General features: G+C 53.5%; 4 annotated features.

Annotated features, from left to right (window-relative positions):
• Positions 823-902: an enhancer, noted in NCBI's record as "active region_26903". NCBI's record gives its function as "activates an Ori minimal core promoter by ATAC-STARR-seq in GM12878 lymphoblastoid cells {active_cell/tissue: GM12878}" and the evidence as "EXISTENCE:reporter gene assay evidence [ECO:0000049][PMID:35858748]".
• Positions 13,462-13,662: a silencer, noted in NCBI's record as "peak6863 fragment used in MPRA reporter construct". NCBI's record gives its function as "represses an SCP1 promoter by STARR-seq MPRAs in K562 erythroleukemia cells {active_cell/tissue: K562}" and the evidence as "EXISTENCE:reporter gene assay evidence [ECO:0000049][PMID:32103011]".
• Positions 16,751-17,285: an enhancer, noted in NCBI's record as "H3K4me1 hESC enhancer chr7:155575232-155575766 (GRCh37/hg19 assembly coordinates)". NCBI's record gives its function as "activates a minimal SCP1, AML or CMV promoter by ChIP-STARR-seq in naive H9 embryonic stem cells {active_cell/tissue: H9 hESC(naive)}" and the evidence as "EXISTENCE:reporter gene assay evidence [ECO:0000049][PMID:30033119]".
• Positions 17,286-17,821: an enhancer, noted in NCBI's record as "H3K4me1 hESC enhancer chr7:155574696-155575231 (GRCh37/hg19 assembly coordinates)". NCBI's record gives its function as "activates a minimal SCP1, AML or CMV promoter by ChIP-STARR-seq in naive H9 embryonic stem cells {active_cell/tissue: H9 hESC(naive)}" and the evidence as "EXISTENCE:reporter gene assay evidence [ECO:0000049][PMID:30033119]".

Here is a 17,911-nt window from a genome sequence, read left to right as displayed (position 1 = left end):
TTACTGGCGCAAGGAGGCAGGCACGTGACTCCCCTGTCTGAGGGAGTTGACAGAGCTGTCAGCATCGCACCCACGTGGGAAATATGGGGCAGACATGCAGGGAATACCGGTCAGTTACAAGATTTGGCAAGAAAGCAGCAGAGTGCCTGCCAGGGAGGCGGGCGGGCCTGCAGGGAACCAGCTCTTCCTCGGCGCACGCGCTCCGTCCTTCCGGATGGTGATCCACTCTAGGAGGCTGAGAAGCCCAGGAAGCGACTTCCGTATGACTTCTTACAAACGAGTCACAAAACCCTTCGTGAGCCCTGCCGTTTCCGGGCACTCCCTGGGATTTATGTTCCAGGACAGAGCTGGGCAAATTTTGGCCTCTGGGACAAATCTGGTCCGAGGGCTGTTTTCACACAGTCCCTGAGCTGAGACTGTGTTTACATTCTTAAAATGTTTAAAAACAAAAAATCTAAAGAAGACTGCTATTCTCTGACATGTGACAATTCTGTGAAACTCAAATTTCAGTGTCCATACATAAAGTTTTATTGAAACACACCCACACTCACTCACGTGTTGTCTGGAGTAGCCTCTCCACTAGCCCAGAGGAAAGCCACAGAAACCACCTGGCCCGCACAGCCTGGTATTTACTCTCTGGCTCTCTGCCCAAGTCTGCCAACCCTCTTTCTAGGATTTTGGATTGAAATCAAGCTTGGCGGTAGGGGCTGGGGGCTGAGGGCAGGAGCTGGAACACAGTGCCCTGTCTACCATCGCAGCATATTTCTCAATTAGAATTCAATTAGAATTGCCCACTCACTCCTGCTTCTCCCTGAGAGCCGTAGGGGCCTCGGGAGGTTAACAAGTCCAGGAAGACCCCGGAGGCAGCCACGTCTGCCTGGTAGAGCAACAGCACCCTTCGATGCTGATCAGGTGTGAGCTAAACTGCCAGGCACACCCTGTGCAGGAGAGGCGGGGTCCAGACACAGCCCGTGGAGTCCCCAGAGCAGTTAGCAGAAGCCGCACCGTGTTACTCTCTCATCTGTGCAGATCACCCCATAGTTAGAAAACAGGAAGTCTGGATTTGGAGATGACTTTCTTTTCTTTTTTTGGCTGAGCTTAATTTTCTCAAATTAAGACCAAAACATTTGTAATTCACACTTCACTCTATAAACAAGCGCTGGGTCCTCATGCAGGGAGGCATGAGAGTGGGTATGGAGGGTGCATTTTAACGGCTACCTTTGGTTTTCAAGATGAGGGCAGCTGTGTTTTCAGATGGGGCAAAGAGGTTGAAACAAGAGGGTTGAAACATCAGAAAACTGAAGATATAGTAGAAGAGAGAGTATGCCAGGAATCAAAGGAAAAAACTCTCCCCCACACAGAATTGATTCCTGGATGGAATCCCCCATCCCAGGTCAGGGCCCAAGCCTTTGCTTCCAGGGGAAGTGGAAGGAAAGTTCCTTCCTCCAGATCTGAGGTTAGCGTAAGGATTTGCCTCAGAACCCTGCAACCTAAAGCCAGCAAAACAAACCCACTGCCTCTGCGAGGAGCGTCAAGGCCCCCACCCCCTGAGCGTCTGTTCACTCCATGGCTTAGGTCTCAGAATCCCAGCTGAAGGCCTCTGGCCAGAACTCTGCGGCTCTCATGGCCCAGGCGGCCCACCTAGCAGGCAGGCCCCACTGGGCAGGAGCCTCCGCAGAGGAATGGGGCTGTGGAGAGGACAATGTGGTCCCTGCCATTTCAGAAAGAGGATGAGAGCCTCCGCGCAGCCCAGGAAGCCAAGGCACGGTTGAGCCTGCCCGTGTTTACTCCACGGCGCGCCATTCTAATGGCAGCTGTTCTTCTTACTGCTCTGTGAGTGGCAGGGGACGGCGCAATCTTCCCTCCTGTGCCTGGGGCCTCGGAGAGTGGAGTGAGCCTCGGCCCAGTGTCCAGGTTCCTACCTTCCAAAGATTCCGGCTGGGGCACTATCCTGGGCCTGGTTCCCCCAGGGCCAAGCTGCAGAGCGCCGGGCACCACCCGCGAGAGAAGCAGCCACCCACCCCTGGGTGTGCCCAGGAGCCCATCCACAGTTTGGATCTGCACCGAACACCAGCAGACTGCAGCAGGAGGCTCCTTCTGCAGTTCCAACTCGGCTTCCGAGGGATGCAGGCCGGTGCTCTCCTCCTCTCCAGCCCTGGTCAAGCCAGGGCTCCGGTGGTCTTTCAGCCTCCACAGCCTCTGCATGTAAAAGGCACTGGCAGCACAGGGTGGACGTTTGGGGAGTTTACCTACCCACGTCCGGGCTCTCTCCTCTCCCTGCACCTCCATGCTCTCCCCAGAATTGCAGGGTGCTGGGTGCAGGTGGCACCTGCCATTGGACCAGCTCCTGGCTGCTTCTCCAGAAGTGTCCCGGGGCTGGAGGGAGCCGGGGTCCCGGGGCTGGAAGGAGCCGACACTTGGGGCCCGGGGATGGAGGGAGCCGTGGACTTGGGGCCTGGGGCTGAGGGAGCCGTGGACTTGGGGCCCGGGGCTGGAGGGAGCTGGGGTCCCAGGGCTGGAGGGAGCCGTGGACTTGGGGCCTGGGGCCGGGGGGAGCCGGGTCGGGGGCTGGGGGGAGCCGGGGTCCCGGGGCTGGAGGGAGCCTTGGAGTTGGGGCCCGGGGCTGGAGAGAGCGGTGGCTGGAGGGAGCCGTCCCCGCGCTGCCCTGGTGGAGTCCGCGCGCCCTCTGGTGGTCGCCTCGGGGAAACGCCGCGGGGCCGTAGCCGGCGGTCCGACAGCCCAGGTGAGCCCTTAAGGATTCAAGCGTCAGAGTCCCTTCAAACCGAGGGCGGGTGACTACAGGCCACCTCCACCCACGGGAGCGTCAAGGAGGGGCGGCGAGGTGAGCACCAGGGGGTCACGCGCCTTCCTCTCCAGAGGGGTCAGTTCAGCCTCGGGGGGCTGGGGCCGGCCCGGAGAGGCCGCCCTGAGTCCGGGACCCGCAGGAGGCCTCAGCCAAAAACAGAGGCAGGGGCGTGGGAGAGTGAGGGGATGGTGCCGGCCGTCAGCACAAGAGAGGAAAGAAACTGAAAAATCTGGAAATCAGGAAAAGTATTGGCTGAGGGCAGAGGGCAAAGGCCACCTCTGACATCTGACCCTGAAAGCGACCGAGTCCCGAGCGTCCAGAGCTGTCCCGAGGGTTCCACGGGAAACCTCGTCCTGTCACCACGACTCCCTCTGTGCAGATGGAAGAGCGGGTCTCGGAGGGGGCGCAAGGTCTCGCGGGGAGCAGGGAGCGGCACAGACTTGGCCGGGGCCACCCACCCACTGCAGCAGCCCCTTCCCTCCAGCCCATCTTCTCTAGCTCCAGAAGCAGGTCTCAGGCTGAATAAACAGGTGTGCTAGGCGGTGAAGGCCAGGGAGCGCGGAGGAGGGGATGGGACAGCCAGGCCGAGGGGCGCCGAGCCCTGGACAGAGGTGCATGGATAGAAACAGTGTTCGCTCTGAAACAGGGACTGGTGGTGTCCTCTCGTAGTCAAATCCTGGGTGGAAAGCGTTCTAGGACATATGAGAACCCAGGTGAAGAGATGGAGCGTTTCTGCTGACCCTAAGGAACACTCTTCTGGAATCCAGGTTGGTGAAACACAAAGGCTGCCCCATCACTAGCAAGTGCTTAGAGCCCGGGTCCCAGCCCAGGCAGGCGGCAACGCAAGGCCAGCATCAGGAGGACCCAGGGGCCGGGCCAAGGCTGGCCGTCCTGGGATAGGAGACCCTCCCCAGCGCCACAGAAGGCCCCATTCTCTGGGTGGTGACCAGCTGCCCCAGGGATGCCCTGCCTTGAGGTTGGATCTGAAAAACCACCTCTTTCAGCTTTTTCTCCTTTGTCACAAAAAAAGTTTCAGAAATAAAAACCTACTGGAAGATTCCTTATAACATGTACAGAAACCGTGTCAGGCTGAGTGTGCAGTAACCGTGTGGGATGACGGGCCACACACACCCGGGAGTACACCCTCACCGCAGCACCTACACACGTGTGTCACACCAAAGCCAGAGTTTGCCAAGAATATTTACCCTACACCGCAGTATCGTCTCTTTATTCAAGCCGGCGACTAATTGATTTCAGGACCCACTAGTGGGTTGTGGGAGCAATTTTAGAGTCCCTGCTCTGTGTCCAGGGCCACATCAAGAATGAAAGAAGGGAGTACTGAGGGAGCCCCAGCCCTGGATGCCCCTCCCTGGGGAGCACCTGCCCTGAACACCCGGCCAGCCAGGCAGAGTGGGGCAGAGGCGCAGCCCACCCTTCCAGGGCAGGTGAGCCACAGGCACCCCTCCCAAGACCCCTCAGCGAATGTGCCAACCCTGCCAACCTCTCCTCTGGTCGCAGCTCCCTCTCTGTTCTAGACACTGGAAGTTTCCTTGCTCCACTGGGAGGGCTGTGAGCATACATGAGGGAAAGACCCCAGGAGAAGAGAAAAGAGAAGGAAAGAGAAGTGGCTGAGATGTACCCAGGACTTCCACGAGGTGGATTGGAGGAACGCTGCCCAGAGAACTGACCTCAGCCAAAAAAAAAAAAAAAAAAAAAAAAAAAACGAAAAAGGAAAAAAAAAGAGCTTTCAATCATCAGGCAATTATTACAACTGTGGAAAAAGATAAATGAATGTACAAAGCTCCCAGGCAAGGCATCAAAACGGTCCAAGGCAGAGACAGATCATATGCAGCCCGCAGAGATCTCAGCTGTTGCTAAGATGAAGCATTGGCTGGAATTAGGCAGCACACCAACACGTGGTGGGGTTTCAGTAACTTTATTTATTTATATTTATATTTTTATTTTTTTGTTTGAGATGGAGTCTCACTCTGTTGCCCAGGCTGGAGTGCAGTGGCACGATCTCAGCTCACTGCAACCTCTGTCTCCCAGGTTCAAACAATTCTCCTGCTTCAGCCTCCCAAATAACTGAGATTACAGGCACCTGCCACCATGCCCAGCTAATTTTTGTATTTTTAGTAGAGACGGGGTTTCGCCATGTTGGCCAGGCTGGTCCCGAACTCCTGACCTCAGATGATCCACCCACCTCGGCCTCCCAAAGTGTTGGGATTACAAGTGTGAGCCACCGTGCCCAGCCGGATTTCAGTAACTTAAAAAAATACAGGCAGATTTGTTCTATTTGCTATATTTTCCTAGTTCAATGTAAGGAACACACTTCCAGAGCACAAGACGATGAACTAATTTTAAAATGCACAGACGTAGGATCCCATCCAAGGCATCATAGGCCACTGTGGGTCTCTGGTCCTGCCCCCACCCCCCTCCTGAGCCCCTCTCTCTCCCACCGCCCGTCACATCCCCAGGCTGAGGTGCCCAGGCAGCCTTGGTGAACACCAACCAGGGCGAGGGCAAGGAGGCAGCTGTGAGATGGGGAGGTCTCAGCCACCTGCCCGGGCATGGTCGACAGAATGCCAGCTGACAACATGCCCCAACCCTGGCACCTCTTCCCAGTTCTGTAATTTAAAATAACTCCATGTGATCTCCCACGCTGGGGCCACAGGCAGGGCAGGAGGTGGCCTTAGGTCCCCAGACACCTGCAGAGGCCCAAGCTGTCCCTGACCACCACAGCAGCCATGGCGACCCTCCCAGCAGGCGAGCGAAGCTATTTATAGGCAGAGTGCTGGTGTCAGTCCTCAAAGACTAGGTGTTCAGTCAAAAAAGACCCTTTTTAGGTCAGGGAAATGAGTTTAAAAATACTTCTGTCTGCAAGTGTGCCAGACAGAGGGTGGAGGCTTTCATTGTCTTGAGCAGCCCAGGGGAGCTTCCTCCAGTGGGACCTGCTAGACCAGGGCAGGCCTACCTACCTCCCACACCTGCCCCGGGCCCTGGCTGGGCACACCCAGTGGCTCTCCCTGTCACATTGTGTCTCACTGCCCAGCCCTACCAGCCTCTGGGGTGGGCTTTCACTGCTGGTCCTCCTGCCCCTCCTGCAGCCTGTGACCTTGGCCTCCACCAAGGAGCAGGTGGGTCCCTGGGGCCTCCCAAGAGAGACTGGGCTCTGGCCACTCTCTGTCCGTGCCGCAGAGACACAGATCAGCTGGCTGCCACCAGAGCCACTGGGGTGTCCAAGGGGATGGCTGTGTATGAGTGTGTGAATGTGTCCATGTATGAGTGCGAGTTTGAGTGTCTGTGTTTGCATATGTGTGTCTGTGTGTGCATGCACGTGTGTGTGAATGCATGTGTGTGGGCATGTGAAGTGCATGTGTGTGTGTGTCTGAGTGTGCGTGTGAATGGTGTATATGAGTGTGTGAATGTATATGTCGGTGTATGAGTATGTGTGAATGGGGTGTGTATGTGTGTCTGAGTGTGCATGTGTCTGTATGAATGTGTGAATGTGCATATGTGTGTGAATGTGTGTATGAGTGTGTGTGAATGTGCACCTGCGTGTGAATGTGCGTGTGTGAATGTGTGAGTGAATGTGCACGTGTGTGAATGTACAAGTGTGTCAATATGTGTGTGAATGTGTGAATGTGCACGTGTGTGAATGTGCGTGTGTGTGAATTGTGTGTGAATGTGTCTATAGTGTGTAAATGTGCATGTGTGTGAATGTGAATTTGTGTGTGAATGTGCATGTGTGTATGTGTGAATGTGCAAGTGTACGTGTGTGAATACGTGTGTGAATGTGCACGTGTGTCTAGATGTGTGTGGATGTGCATGTGTGTGTGGATGTGCTTTTGTGTGTGTGTGGATGTGCATTTGTGTGTGCGTATGAGTGTGTGTGAATGTGAGTGTGCATATGTGTGTCTGTGAGTGTGCATCCTGTGCACGAGTGCATGAGAGAGAGGCACAGAGGGGCAGAGGATGAGGCACGGGGGGAGAAGTGCTGGGTATTGTTTTCAGGGCCAGCCTCACCCGGAGTTGGAATTGCGTTCCCGACCACACCTCAATTCAGGGGCATCCAAAGCACTGAGCAGGACAGCGATAGCTTGGAATAGAAATCTTCTAGCCTAGGGGAGGAGAACATCTAATGCACATCTTAAACACCAAATCCCTCTCTGAGAAGATGGGAGGGCTCCTGGGACAGGGCCCGTGGGGCGAGTAGGGCACAGGAACTTGTGGACTGGGTGTGGACACTCCTTCCCCAGGGCAAGAGGCAGAGCCGGGGAGCTTGGGTGAACGAACGGTGTTGGAGGACACGGGCCATGAAGAGAAGGGGGATCATGGAGAGAATGAGAGTGGGGCCACAGAGGGAGACAGAGAGAGAGGCCAAGAAGAGAGAGGGAGTGGGGCCACGGGGGGAGGGGGGAGAGAGAGAGAGAGAGGCCACAGGGAGAGAGAGGGAGAGAGAGAGTGGGGCCACAGAGAGACGGAGAGCAGGGCCAAGAAGAGAGGGAAGGATTATGGAAAGAGGGAGGGATTACGGAGAGAGGGGGCATTACGGAGGAGGGATTATGGAGAGGGGGATTACAGAGAGAGGGAGGGATTATAGAGAGAGGGAGGGATTACAGAGAGAGGGAGGGATTACCGAGAGGGGGGATTACGGAGAGGGGGATTACTGATAGAGGGGGAATTACGGAGAGAGGGAGGGATTATAGAGAGAGGGAGGGATTACCGAGAGGGGGATTACGGAGAGGGGGATTACGGAGAGAGGGGGAATTACGGAGAGAGGGGGCATTACGGAGAGAGGGAGGGATTATGGAGAGGGGGATTACGGAGAGGGGGAGGGATTATAGAGAGAGGGAGGGATTACAGAGAGAGGGAGGGATTACCGAGAGGGGGAGGGATTATGGAGAGAGGGGATTATGGGAGAGGGGGGATTATGGAGAGGGGGGATTACGGAGAGAGGGAGGGATTATGGAGAGAGGGTGGGATTATGGAGAGAGGGAGAGAGAGCCGCCCATCTTCTTCCGTGGCTCAGTCATGGTGGAGCCTATCTGTGAAGAAACTTTTGATTCAAGCTGGCCCTATTCCAGGGGCTAAGGAAGATCTTAAAGAATTCCAACTCTCTTCCCTGAAATTTCACAGGATCTCGTGTGTGGGTGGGGGAAGACAGATTCTTGACATGAAACACTAAGCGGGTGGGTTCTGTCTTTCCTTCCAGTTGTTCTGCCTCTCCGCTCATCCTATCACTGATGAAAGTAACAGTGGTTCTGAGCCCGCCTTCGCCTTTGACCTCCGGATGGTGCTGGCGGGTCTGCTCAGATCACAGACAAGGAAACCTAACTTTGAGAAGGTCAGTGGTTTTCCACACTGCGCAGCTAAGGGGAAGGAGCCAGGAAATGTTCTTCTTTGGCGCTCACGGTCTGCATGGTTCCTTGCACCGTCCCGACGAAGCGAGAGTGGGGGACGCTGCCCAGAGGCTGTCATTCTTCCCAAACACCCTCCCTTTTGGGGGCCCATTCCGGCTTCCACCTTTGCGCTCAGTCTTTCTCGCAAAGGACAATGCCCACCTCTTCTTTCCAGGTCTTTACATTCTACGTGACAGACACAGAGTTCAGGGCCAGCCCCGCAGTTCCGGGGGGATGAATGCTGGGAGGAAGAAGAGGGGGAGGGAGTTCTCAGGACAGGACCGTATTTAGAGTTGCCATGCCTCGGGAGATGCTCGTTCTCCTAACCTGGGGTTCCCATGGGGGCAGAAGTCAATGTATCTTTTTAAAAATTTGGCCATAAGTTACCAAAGCCTTTGCATTTGTGTGTATTCACTGACTCAGTAATTTTAATTAATTAGAATTTATACCAAGGAAATGATTATGGATTTGCACATGACATAGCCACTAGTATGTTTTCAACAGTGGTATTTATAGTAGAACAAATTGGGCAGCAGCCTAAATTACCATCACTGGGGAATGGATTAAGGAAATTAAGGCACATCCACTTAAGGGATTGCTACTCAGTTATGTGAGGTGACACTGGGGAAGAATATTTAACCTCCTCAGCAAATATTTACCATACATTACGTGGTGACAAGAGCTGGTTCCATAACGCAGTGTACACCCTGGTCCACTTGGGTGTGTGTGTGTGTGTGCGCGCACGTGCACGTGTGTGTGTGTGTGCAAGAACCTACTCTCTGGGCAACGCAATTACAAGTGACTTTGTTTTCGCCCTTTCCTCCTCTATATTTTCCAAATTTGTCTCAATGACAACTTAGCTCTTTGTAAGCAAAAATAAAATATTTTAATTTAAAAATGTTTAAGAAATGATTTGTTTTGTTTCTCCTTTCCTCTCTAAATCCATGCTGGTTTTTACCTGGTCACGAGAACATCCTGGAACAGCCACCAGGGAGCTGGCTGGGTGCACATTTGAGAGATTTGGGGCCTCTGCTTTTGCTATTGCTTCCAAAGCCAATGGTGTAGGTTTTTTGTTTTTTTGTTTTTGTTTTTGTTTTTGTTTTTGAGGAATATCTGAAACGATAGTAAGTCTTCAACCTTTGATGGCGATGTTCACTTTTTAAGTAATCAGAGCCATTCAGAGAAGGATCTTGTGGACTGTGGGGTGAAAAAAGGACTAGGTGGGCTGGCCATGAAGCCATGAGGTTTGCCTTCACGCCAAGCTCATCACTGGTGCCCCAAAAGGCCTTTCTCAAATATTCTCATCCATGGAAAAAGTGTACTTTTTCCCAAGATGGCTCCATGGGGCTGGAGCCCCGGGTCCCAGATCTGCTGCAGGACCCGCGATGTCCCGGGCAAGCCAGGGCAGCTCTGCCGGCTCGGGACACACAAAGGCCAGGTGCTGGTGTCCTTGGCGTTTTTTAGCCCTGCCATGGAGCCAGCTCTTTGCCACCAGAACTGCATGCTTCACGCAGACAAGGCTGGACTGTGCCGTCCGCTGCCGCGCAGCACTGTGTCCATCACCGCAGAAGACCCCCTGTGTCCATCACCGTAGAAACGCCACACAGTGGCATTCAGTAAATATCAAGCTCATGAATGAGTGAATAAGAAACCGATGGGACGCCGAGGGCGGTGGCTCACGCCTGTCATCCCTGCACTTTGGGATGCCGAGGCGGGCGGATCACAAGGTCAGGAGATCGAGACCATGCTGGCGAACATGGTGAAACCCCGTCTCTACTAAAAATACAAAAACATTAGCCAGGCGTGGTGGCAGGCGCCTGTAGTCCAGCTACTCGGGCAGCTGAGGCAGGAGAATGCTGTGAACCCGGGAGGCGGAGCTGGCAGTGAGCTGAGGTTACGCCACTGCACTCCAGCCTGGGCAACGGAGCCAGACTCCATCACAAAAACAAAACAAAACAAAACAAAACAAAACAAAACAAACCGATGAACAAATGCGGCAGCACCAGTCTCTGGGCGGGTTAAACACGCACAAGCCCAGGCGTCTGGGCACAGCCAGCACCGGGAAGCAAAGGCCGCCCAGCGGGTGTGAGAGCCCTGACCTGGACCCAGTCCTGCAGGCTCCGGCACAGCTTCTCCTCATGGGGTCTGGCCCAGCCGGTGGCATCTCTGGACCCCGCATCCACTTACAGAGGGATTCTGCCAGGAGCAGACTCAGGGAGGGGCTGGAGGGACTTCCTCGGGGTCATGGGAGGGGAGGCTGGCCGGCACCCATTATATCCCTTGGCTGCCGCAAGGCAAGCAGGACAGGCCCCAGAAAGGCCTGTTGGAACAGGAGAGGCTGCGTTTAGGCCTGCGCGGCTGCATGAAACAGGGAGACACTTGCCTTTCCCTCCCCCAGGGATGCCGAGGAGCAAGAGGCCACATGGGAAGGCACCTGGCACAGCCGAAGGGGGGCAGATGAATGCGGCAGGCGGAAGCCCTGGTCCTGCTCAGTTTTCTCTTGTCCTGAAAGGACGCTGGTGACCACGTGGGGACCCACACAACCTGGGTGGGATGCTGGGCAGGGTTACGGACGTGGCCGGTGTGGCAAGCAGGGAGAAGGACGGGCTCCTCCCCAGGGCTGGGCTGCTCGTGGGGGGTGTGGGAGCGTGTTGGTGCTCAGGGGGTTCACTGTGTTCTCTTCCCGGTGCAAACGTGGCCTCAGGAAGACGGGGTTCACCCAGCGTTGCTCTGCCTCAGCCCTTTCCCTGGCTGTGACTCAGCCCCAACGGAATGAGGGCAAGAGCCAGTCGTGGACCAGAGGACACGGGGGCTGGAGAGGGAGACGGCCCCCAGGCTGCGCGGCCGGCTGCGGTTGCTCATTGTCCAAGTGTGGATGGGGCTCGTCCTGGCCTACCGCGTCACTCAAAGCCCGCGGGGCCCGGTCCCTGTGCTGGAGCCCCATGGCCGTCCTTGCATCCCCGGCTGGGCAGTGGACCCTGCCCTCCCTGCCCTCCCTGCCCTCCCTGCCCTCCCTGCCCTCCCTGCCCTCGCAGGACCAAGGCCGATTGTCGCTTTGTTACTTCGCTGGGTGTGGTTTTGGTTGGATTTTTTTTTTTTTTTTTTTTTTTTTTTGAGATGGAGTCTCGCTCTGTCTCCCAGGCTGGAGTGCAGTGGTGCGATCTCGGCTCACTGCAAGCTCCGCCTCCCGGGTTCACGCCATCCTCCTGCCTCAGCCTCCGGAGTAGCTGGGACCACAGGCGCCCGCCACCGCGCCCGGCTGATTTTTTTTTTTTTTTTTTTGTATTTTTAGTAGAGACGGGGTTTCACCGTGTTAGCCAGGATGGTCTCGATCTCCTGACCTTGTGATCCGCCCTCCTCAGCCTCCCAAAGCGCTGGGATTACAGGCGTGAACCACCGCGCCCGGCCTTGGTTGGATTTTTAGCTGTCGATATGCTGAGCGCTCCGCCTGGGGAAACCTGAATACATTGCGAGGTTAAGAACAGAAGTGTGGGCCAGACACTCGCGGCTCCCACGGCCCGACCCTCTGCGTGGACACAGATGGTGTGAGCGGAGCCGGCATTGACGGTCCAGGCCCGAGGGTGGGGGAAACAGAGACCCAGGTGGCTTCAATATCCTGGCTATCAGGAGCATAAGGCAAACTTTTCACATGAAACTGGAATGTGTGAAAACTCACTGTTTAAAAACACTAGTTGCTAATCCGTTCTTTCTTAACAAATTGTAATCCTCAAAGGGCCAGAGAGGAGAGGGCAGGCCCAGGGGACAGCTCTCCGTGGGTTTCTGGGCGTGTCCGGGAATAGGTGGGGCTGCTGTGGGGGAGCGAAGTGGGGAGAAGAGGGAAGAGAGACAGGAGGGTCAGAGAGAAAGAGGGAGGGACACAGGGAGAGTCCCTCCCTCTTTCTCTCTGACCCTCCTCCGCGGGGCAGGAGAGCCTCCCGCGGCGCACCCCTCACCCGCCCCGGTGCTCGCTCCCACCAGGGACGGGCGTCCCAGCCCCTTCGGATGTCGAGGCAGCACTGAGGAAAGGTCCCCAGCGTGTGTGCCAGGCGGGGGCCGTGGGCAGACAGAGCGCAGTCCTGGCCTGCAGCGGGCGGGCGGCGCGGCAGGGCCCGAGACAGGGGCGGCCCGGAGGTCCCTTGCGCTGGGCCGTGGTCGGGAGCTCCCGGCAGAGATGCGCGCGCGGAGCCTCGCGGTCCGGGGAAGGGGTGCGGGGGTGCGCGGCGGCCCGGCCTCCTTTAGCCGCGGGCTCAGGCGGGGGCTGTCCCTGCGCTGCCTCCTGGGACCCTCGGGGCAGCCAGGCGGGCCCGGACCCCTTGCTCGGACGCAGCCAGCGGCAGGTCGCGCGGCGCTGGTGCGGGGACGCTGGGGGCGCAGGCCCGGGACGCCTCGGGGCTTACCTTGGGGCAGGGACAGAAGGACCGCCTGACGACATACGTTCCGCAAAAAACAAAACAAAACAAAACGTTAACTGGACAATCGCCCACGTCCTGAAATGCCTGATGCAGCCCCAATGCGTGGCCGTCAGGGAGGCTGCCTGGGGTCCTCAGGCAATGTAATATCCCTCCACAAATGGGGGCTTCAAGACAAGGAATTCACTGCGAATTGCTTTCGTGTCTTCATAAAACTTTTTTTTTTCCCTTTTTTGAGGCAGGGACTCACTGTTGCCCAAGCTGGAGTGACGTGACAGGATCTCTGCTCACTGCAACCTCCGCCTCCCCAGCTCAAGCGATCCTCCCACCTCAGCCTTCCCAGTAGCTGGGATTACAGGTGCCTGCCACCACACCCGGCTAATTTTTAAAAAAATTTTCTTCTTATTTTTTTTTTTTTTTTTTAGCAGAGACAGGGTTTCTCCACATTGGATAAGCTGGTCTCAAACTCCTGACCTCAAGTGATGCGCCTGCCTCAGCCTCTCAAAGTGCTGGGATTACAGACGTGAACCACCGCGCGCGGCCTTGTGTTTCTTAATGTAGTATTTGGTTCACCAGTATTTTATTTAGGATTTTTTTGCATCAATATTCATAAACATTATCGGTTGGTCATCTTTTCTGTGCTATCTCTTCCAGGTATAGATATAAACGATATATTTGCTTCATTAAAAGGATGTGGAAATTTTCTCATTTTAAATGCTTTGGAACAATTTATGCAGCATAAGTTATATCTGGTCTCCAAACATTTAGTAGAATTCCTCTGTAACATGTGGGCCTTTCTGCATGCCTAGTTTTTTGATCATTTTATTTTTTTCTGTAGAGATTGACTGGTATGAGCTTTAGATCTCCACAGCAGTTGATACTGATACACTGTTTATCCTAAGAAATTGTCCATATCACATAGGTTTTTAAATTATCTGCAAAAAGATCTACAAAGTAGTCTTTTATTGCTTACAAAATCCCTTTTATGGGCAACGAACTTGAATAGGTGTTTCTCCACAGAAGATAAACAAATGACCCACAAGCATATGAGAAGATGTTCAACCTCACTAACCATTAGGGAAATGTAACTCCAAATCACAATGAGACACCCCCTCACACTCATTAGGGTGGCTATGACACACACAAAAACAAAGAAACATAAAATAGCACATGTTGGTGAAGATGTGGCGAAATGGAAGAAACCCTTGAGCACTGTTGGTGGGGATGTCAAATGTTGTGGCTGCGGTGGAAAAGAGGATGACAGTTTCTCAAAAATTAAACATAGAACTGCCATGCGACCCAGCATTTCCACGCCCCCATACAGACACAGAAGAATTGGAAGCAGGCTCTTAAAAAGACGTGTGCACACTCATGTTCGTAACAGCATTCGTCATCGTCAAGCATCCCGTGTCCACTGATGGATGAATGGGTAACAAATGCACTGTGTGTTTATAATGGAATATGACTCAGCCTTGAAAAGGAAGGGAATCCTGACACAGGCTGTCACATGATGGACCTTGAGGACATCGTGCCAAGTGAACCAGGCCAGTCACAAAAGGATAAGCACCATAGGATCCCAACCACATGAGGCACTTATTGTCGTCAAATTCAGAGGCAGAAAGTGGAGTGGGGGCGGGGGGTGCTGGGGGCTCAGGAAGGGGATGGGAGTTTGTGTTTCATGGGGACAGAGTGTCAGTTCTGTAAGAGGAAAAGGTTCTGGAGATGGATGGTTGGGACAGCTGTACAGCAGTGTGAACATATGTAATAAAACAGAACTGGACACTGACAGTTAAAATCATATATATTGATGTATAATTTTGATGCTACATGTTTTACATAATTTGATGTTACGTTCTACAATTTTAAAAAAGTCCTTTTTATCAATAGCAATTCTTGTGTTTCTTTTTATTTGTACATTCTTTTTTCTTAATTAGCTAGCGGTTTGTCTATTTCACTGATTTTTTTTTCTAAGGACTGGGATTTTAATCTATTAATTTTGTTAAATAAGTGTTTTCCCTTGATTAAAGACTAATGGGAGAGAAAATTTCAGGAAGCTTCACATGACATCATCTGAACGGCTGTCATCAGAGGCTCCCTGGCAAGGCTGGTGCCATCATCTCAGGGGCACGGCCATCCTGGGAAGCTGAGGCGAAGCCTGCCTTTGGTGACTGAGGTGCACATTGGCAATGTAAGGGCCAGGGAAGAAGCCGAAGCCAGGAGCAGCACTGGAAGGCACACGCCTGTCATCCCAGCCCTTTGGGAGGCCAAGGCAGGCGGATCGCTTGAGCTCAGGAGTTCAAGACCAGCCTGGGCAATGTGGTGAAACCCCATCTCTACAAAAAATACAAAAATTAGCCAGGTGTGGTGGTGCACGCCTGTAATCCTAGCTACTCGGGAGGCTGAGAGGGGAGGTTCTCTTGAGCCCAGGAGGTCAAGTCTGCAGTGAGTCAGGAATGCACCACTGCATTCCAGCCTGGGTGACAGAGAAAGAAAGACCCTGTCTCCAAAAAAATAAGGAGAACAAAACATGGTATCATTCTTCAGACACCATCCACAGATGCTCTCCCTTGATGGTGAGAAAAAATTCTCTCCATTGTCAATTTTAGAGAAAAAACACGACTAGCGTCTGAGATTGAAAACATCCAGGCTAGCTTTCGAAGCTGGGTGAAGAGCTTAGGTGCGGTTTTCATTACACCTCCTCAACAGCAGCTGTTGTTACTTGGAATCAGAGAAGTGCTCCTCTCCGTCTGGTCTGAAGGGCATCTGCCCAGTCCTCTAGTCACCTGCAGTGGGTCGGGAGGTAGGGCTTTCTTTCTGGAGGGGTTTCCTCAGTGTCCAGCTCTGCAGCCTGGTGCGACGACATGTCCAGAATGCCCCACTGACTTTCCTGTCTGGATCTACGTCGGACCCTAGAGAAGAGCCGCAAGGACCTCTGCCCTCTCGCTGCGGCCTGCAGGCAACACCAAAGGTCAGCAAGAAAGCTTCCTTTTTGAGCGTGAAGCTTCAAAACTGCCGTGCTTCTCATTTCTTTTAAGCACACAGCAACGAGCTGCACCTCAAGGTGTACAACACATGGCTCTGTGCTTCTGTTCCTAGAGCCACCAATTGTCAGTACTGTGTGTTTCCTACAGAACTCTTTTATCACTTACTTTTCCCTTCAGACGTGACTGTCACTCTTTCAAAACATGCAAATACATGTTCGAATAAGAAAAGGACCTGGCCGCACACGGTGGCTCACACCTGTAATCCAAGCACTTTGGGTGGCGAAGACAGGCAGATCATTTGGGGCCAGGAGTTCAAGACCAAACTGGACAACATGGTGAAACCCTGTCTCTACTAAAAATATTAAAAATTAGCTGAGCATGGTGGTGCACACCTGTGGTCCCAGCCACTGGGGAAGCTGAGGTGGGAGGATCAGCTGAGCGCAGGAAATCAGGGCTACATTGAGCTGTGATTGCACCACTGCACTCCCGGTGACACAGGCAGAAACCAAGGGTGAGATTTCAGGACTCAGCGGCCATGTTTCAACAGGAATGATCAGTGCCACACACCTGAACCACTTCCAAACCTCCTGTGTCTGGGACGGGGACACCCCTGGGCCTGCCACAAATACACTGCCTCACGTAATTGGTTGCACTAAATAAATACACACCAAGACCTCCAGCATGCCAGGCACTGCTCAGGGGGCAACTATGGGAAATAACAATACCTTCTTCAAAGGATCTACCACTCTTGAGTGTACCCTTAATTCAAAGAAAGCCCCATTTTCTCCCTGAAATGTCAAGGCGTTTTTTGCCCATGTTCTGTAGAGATCCCATTACCCAAAGTACAGGTTTTAAAAACAAGGAATGACTTATTCTTGAACTATGGATTAAAGAGGAAGAAAACTGCTTTGGGCTCTAATCACATGGCATTTTCAGATTATGACTTAGGCTTAAAAATTCAATTAAATCGGATTTGAGAAATTCACCCAACACATTTCGCTTTTGTTACCTGTTGCTTCCTCCTCCATTTCAATTTCCCAAATTTGCCTCTTCTCTTGCTTTCTTTCTTCCTTACTTAGGTCCAAACTAAGGCACTTTCCTTTTCATCCTTACGAGAACGGGGAAAACAGGGTGATAAAATGTATCTTTGAAAGCAGCCACCGTCTGCCCACTGCAGGCCACCCTGCTTGTGGAAGGCCCCCCGTTTGCGTTACGGAACCAGAGTGGAAACTGCAAGGTTTTATTAACATGGCTTCCAAATTACATACAATGTAGTTCAGTTTTTGGTATGAAATCACACAAATGAAACACACAACAGTACATTTTCTTGAAATGTACGTAGTTGAAACTACGTCACTAGAATTCACATGTGCATTACACAGAGGTGAAGAGCATGAAGAATGGCTGTGTGGCCCTCCCGCACCTGCCTGGATGGCCTGCTTCCGGCCCTGGGGAGGGACAGCCACCGTGAGGCAGTGAGCCTGTGAAACCCGCTCTCAGGGATGAACACAGCTGGAACCTTGCATGTGCGCTCTTCCCGCATACCTAACAGTGCTTCCACAGCCACTGTGCTCTCCCCCAGGGTCCTGCCGGGTGGCTCTGTCAAGCCCTGCACACCGGCCTGGACCAGGGGGATGACAGAAAGGGTGCCACCATGTCCCAATCTGCTTTGGCTTTCACAGCCGCTGACCCACAGGCTGTCCCACGAAGAATGGGAGAGGCCTGTCAAGGGAGCCACATGTCTTCCATCAAACTCAAGGGACCAAAGGAAATGGCAGTGACTGAGAACAGTGGTCCTGTTTCTATGTAAGAAAGGAGAGGGTGCTGACTGAGAACGGTGATCCCGTTTCTACATAAGAAAAGAGAGGGTGCTGCAGGTGGAGAGTGGGCTGGAGCTGGTCACCAGCGCCTCCCGAACCCCAGCACAGACACCAACACCAGCATCCGGGTGAGAGGGGAAGCCGGCCCATCACAGTACACAGGCAGGCTGGAGCTGGTCACCAGCGACCCCCGAACCCCAGCACAGACACCAACACCAGCATCCGGGTGAGAGGGGAAGCCGGCCCATCACAGGGCACAGCAGGGGGTGTGATGGGGGTTATCTTCTTGAATGTTTTGGACAGTAGTTTCTGGAAACAGAGCTGCCTTCTTTTTAAAGACTTCATTTTCAAAATAGACCATAAATTATGAGCAATTTCTAACAACATGAAAAACACGTGGGATACATGAAATGGAAAATATACATGATGGCATATGCACTGTGATCCCAACCTCCAGCGAGGCCTGCACACGGCAAGAACACGCCACCTT

The sequence above is a fragment of the Homo sapiens genome, chromosome 7, assembly GCF_000001405.40.
Source record: "Homo sapiens chromosome 7, GRCh38.p14 Primary Assembly".
In the NCBI taxonomy this organism is placed as follows: Eukaryota; Metazoa; Chordata; class Mammalia; order Primates; family Hominidae; genus Homo; species Homo sapiens.
Note: the sequence above shows the minus strand (reverse complement) of the source record. Positions and strands in the feature narration are given on the sequence as shown.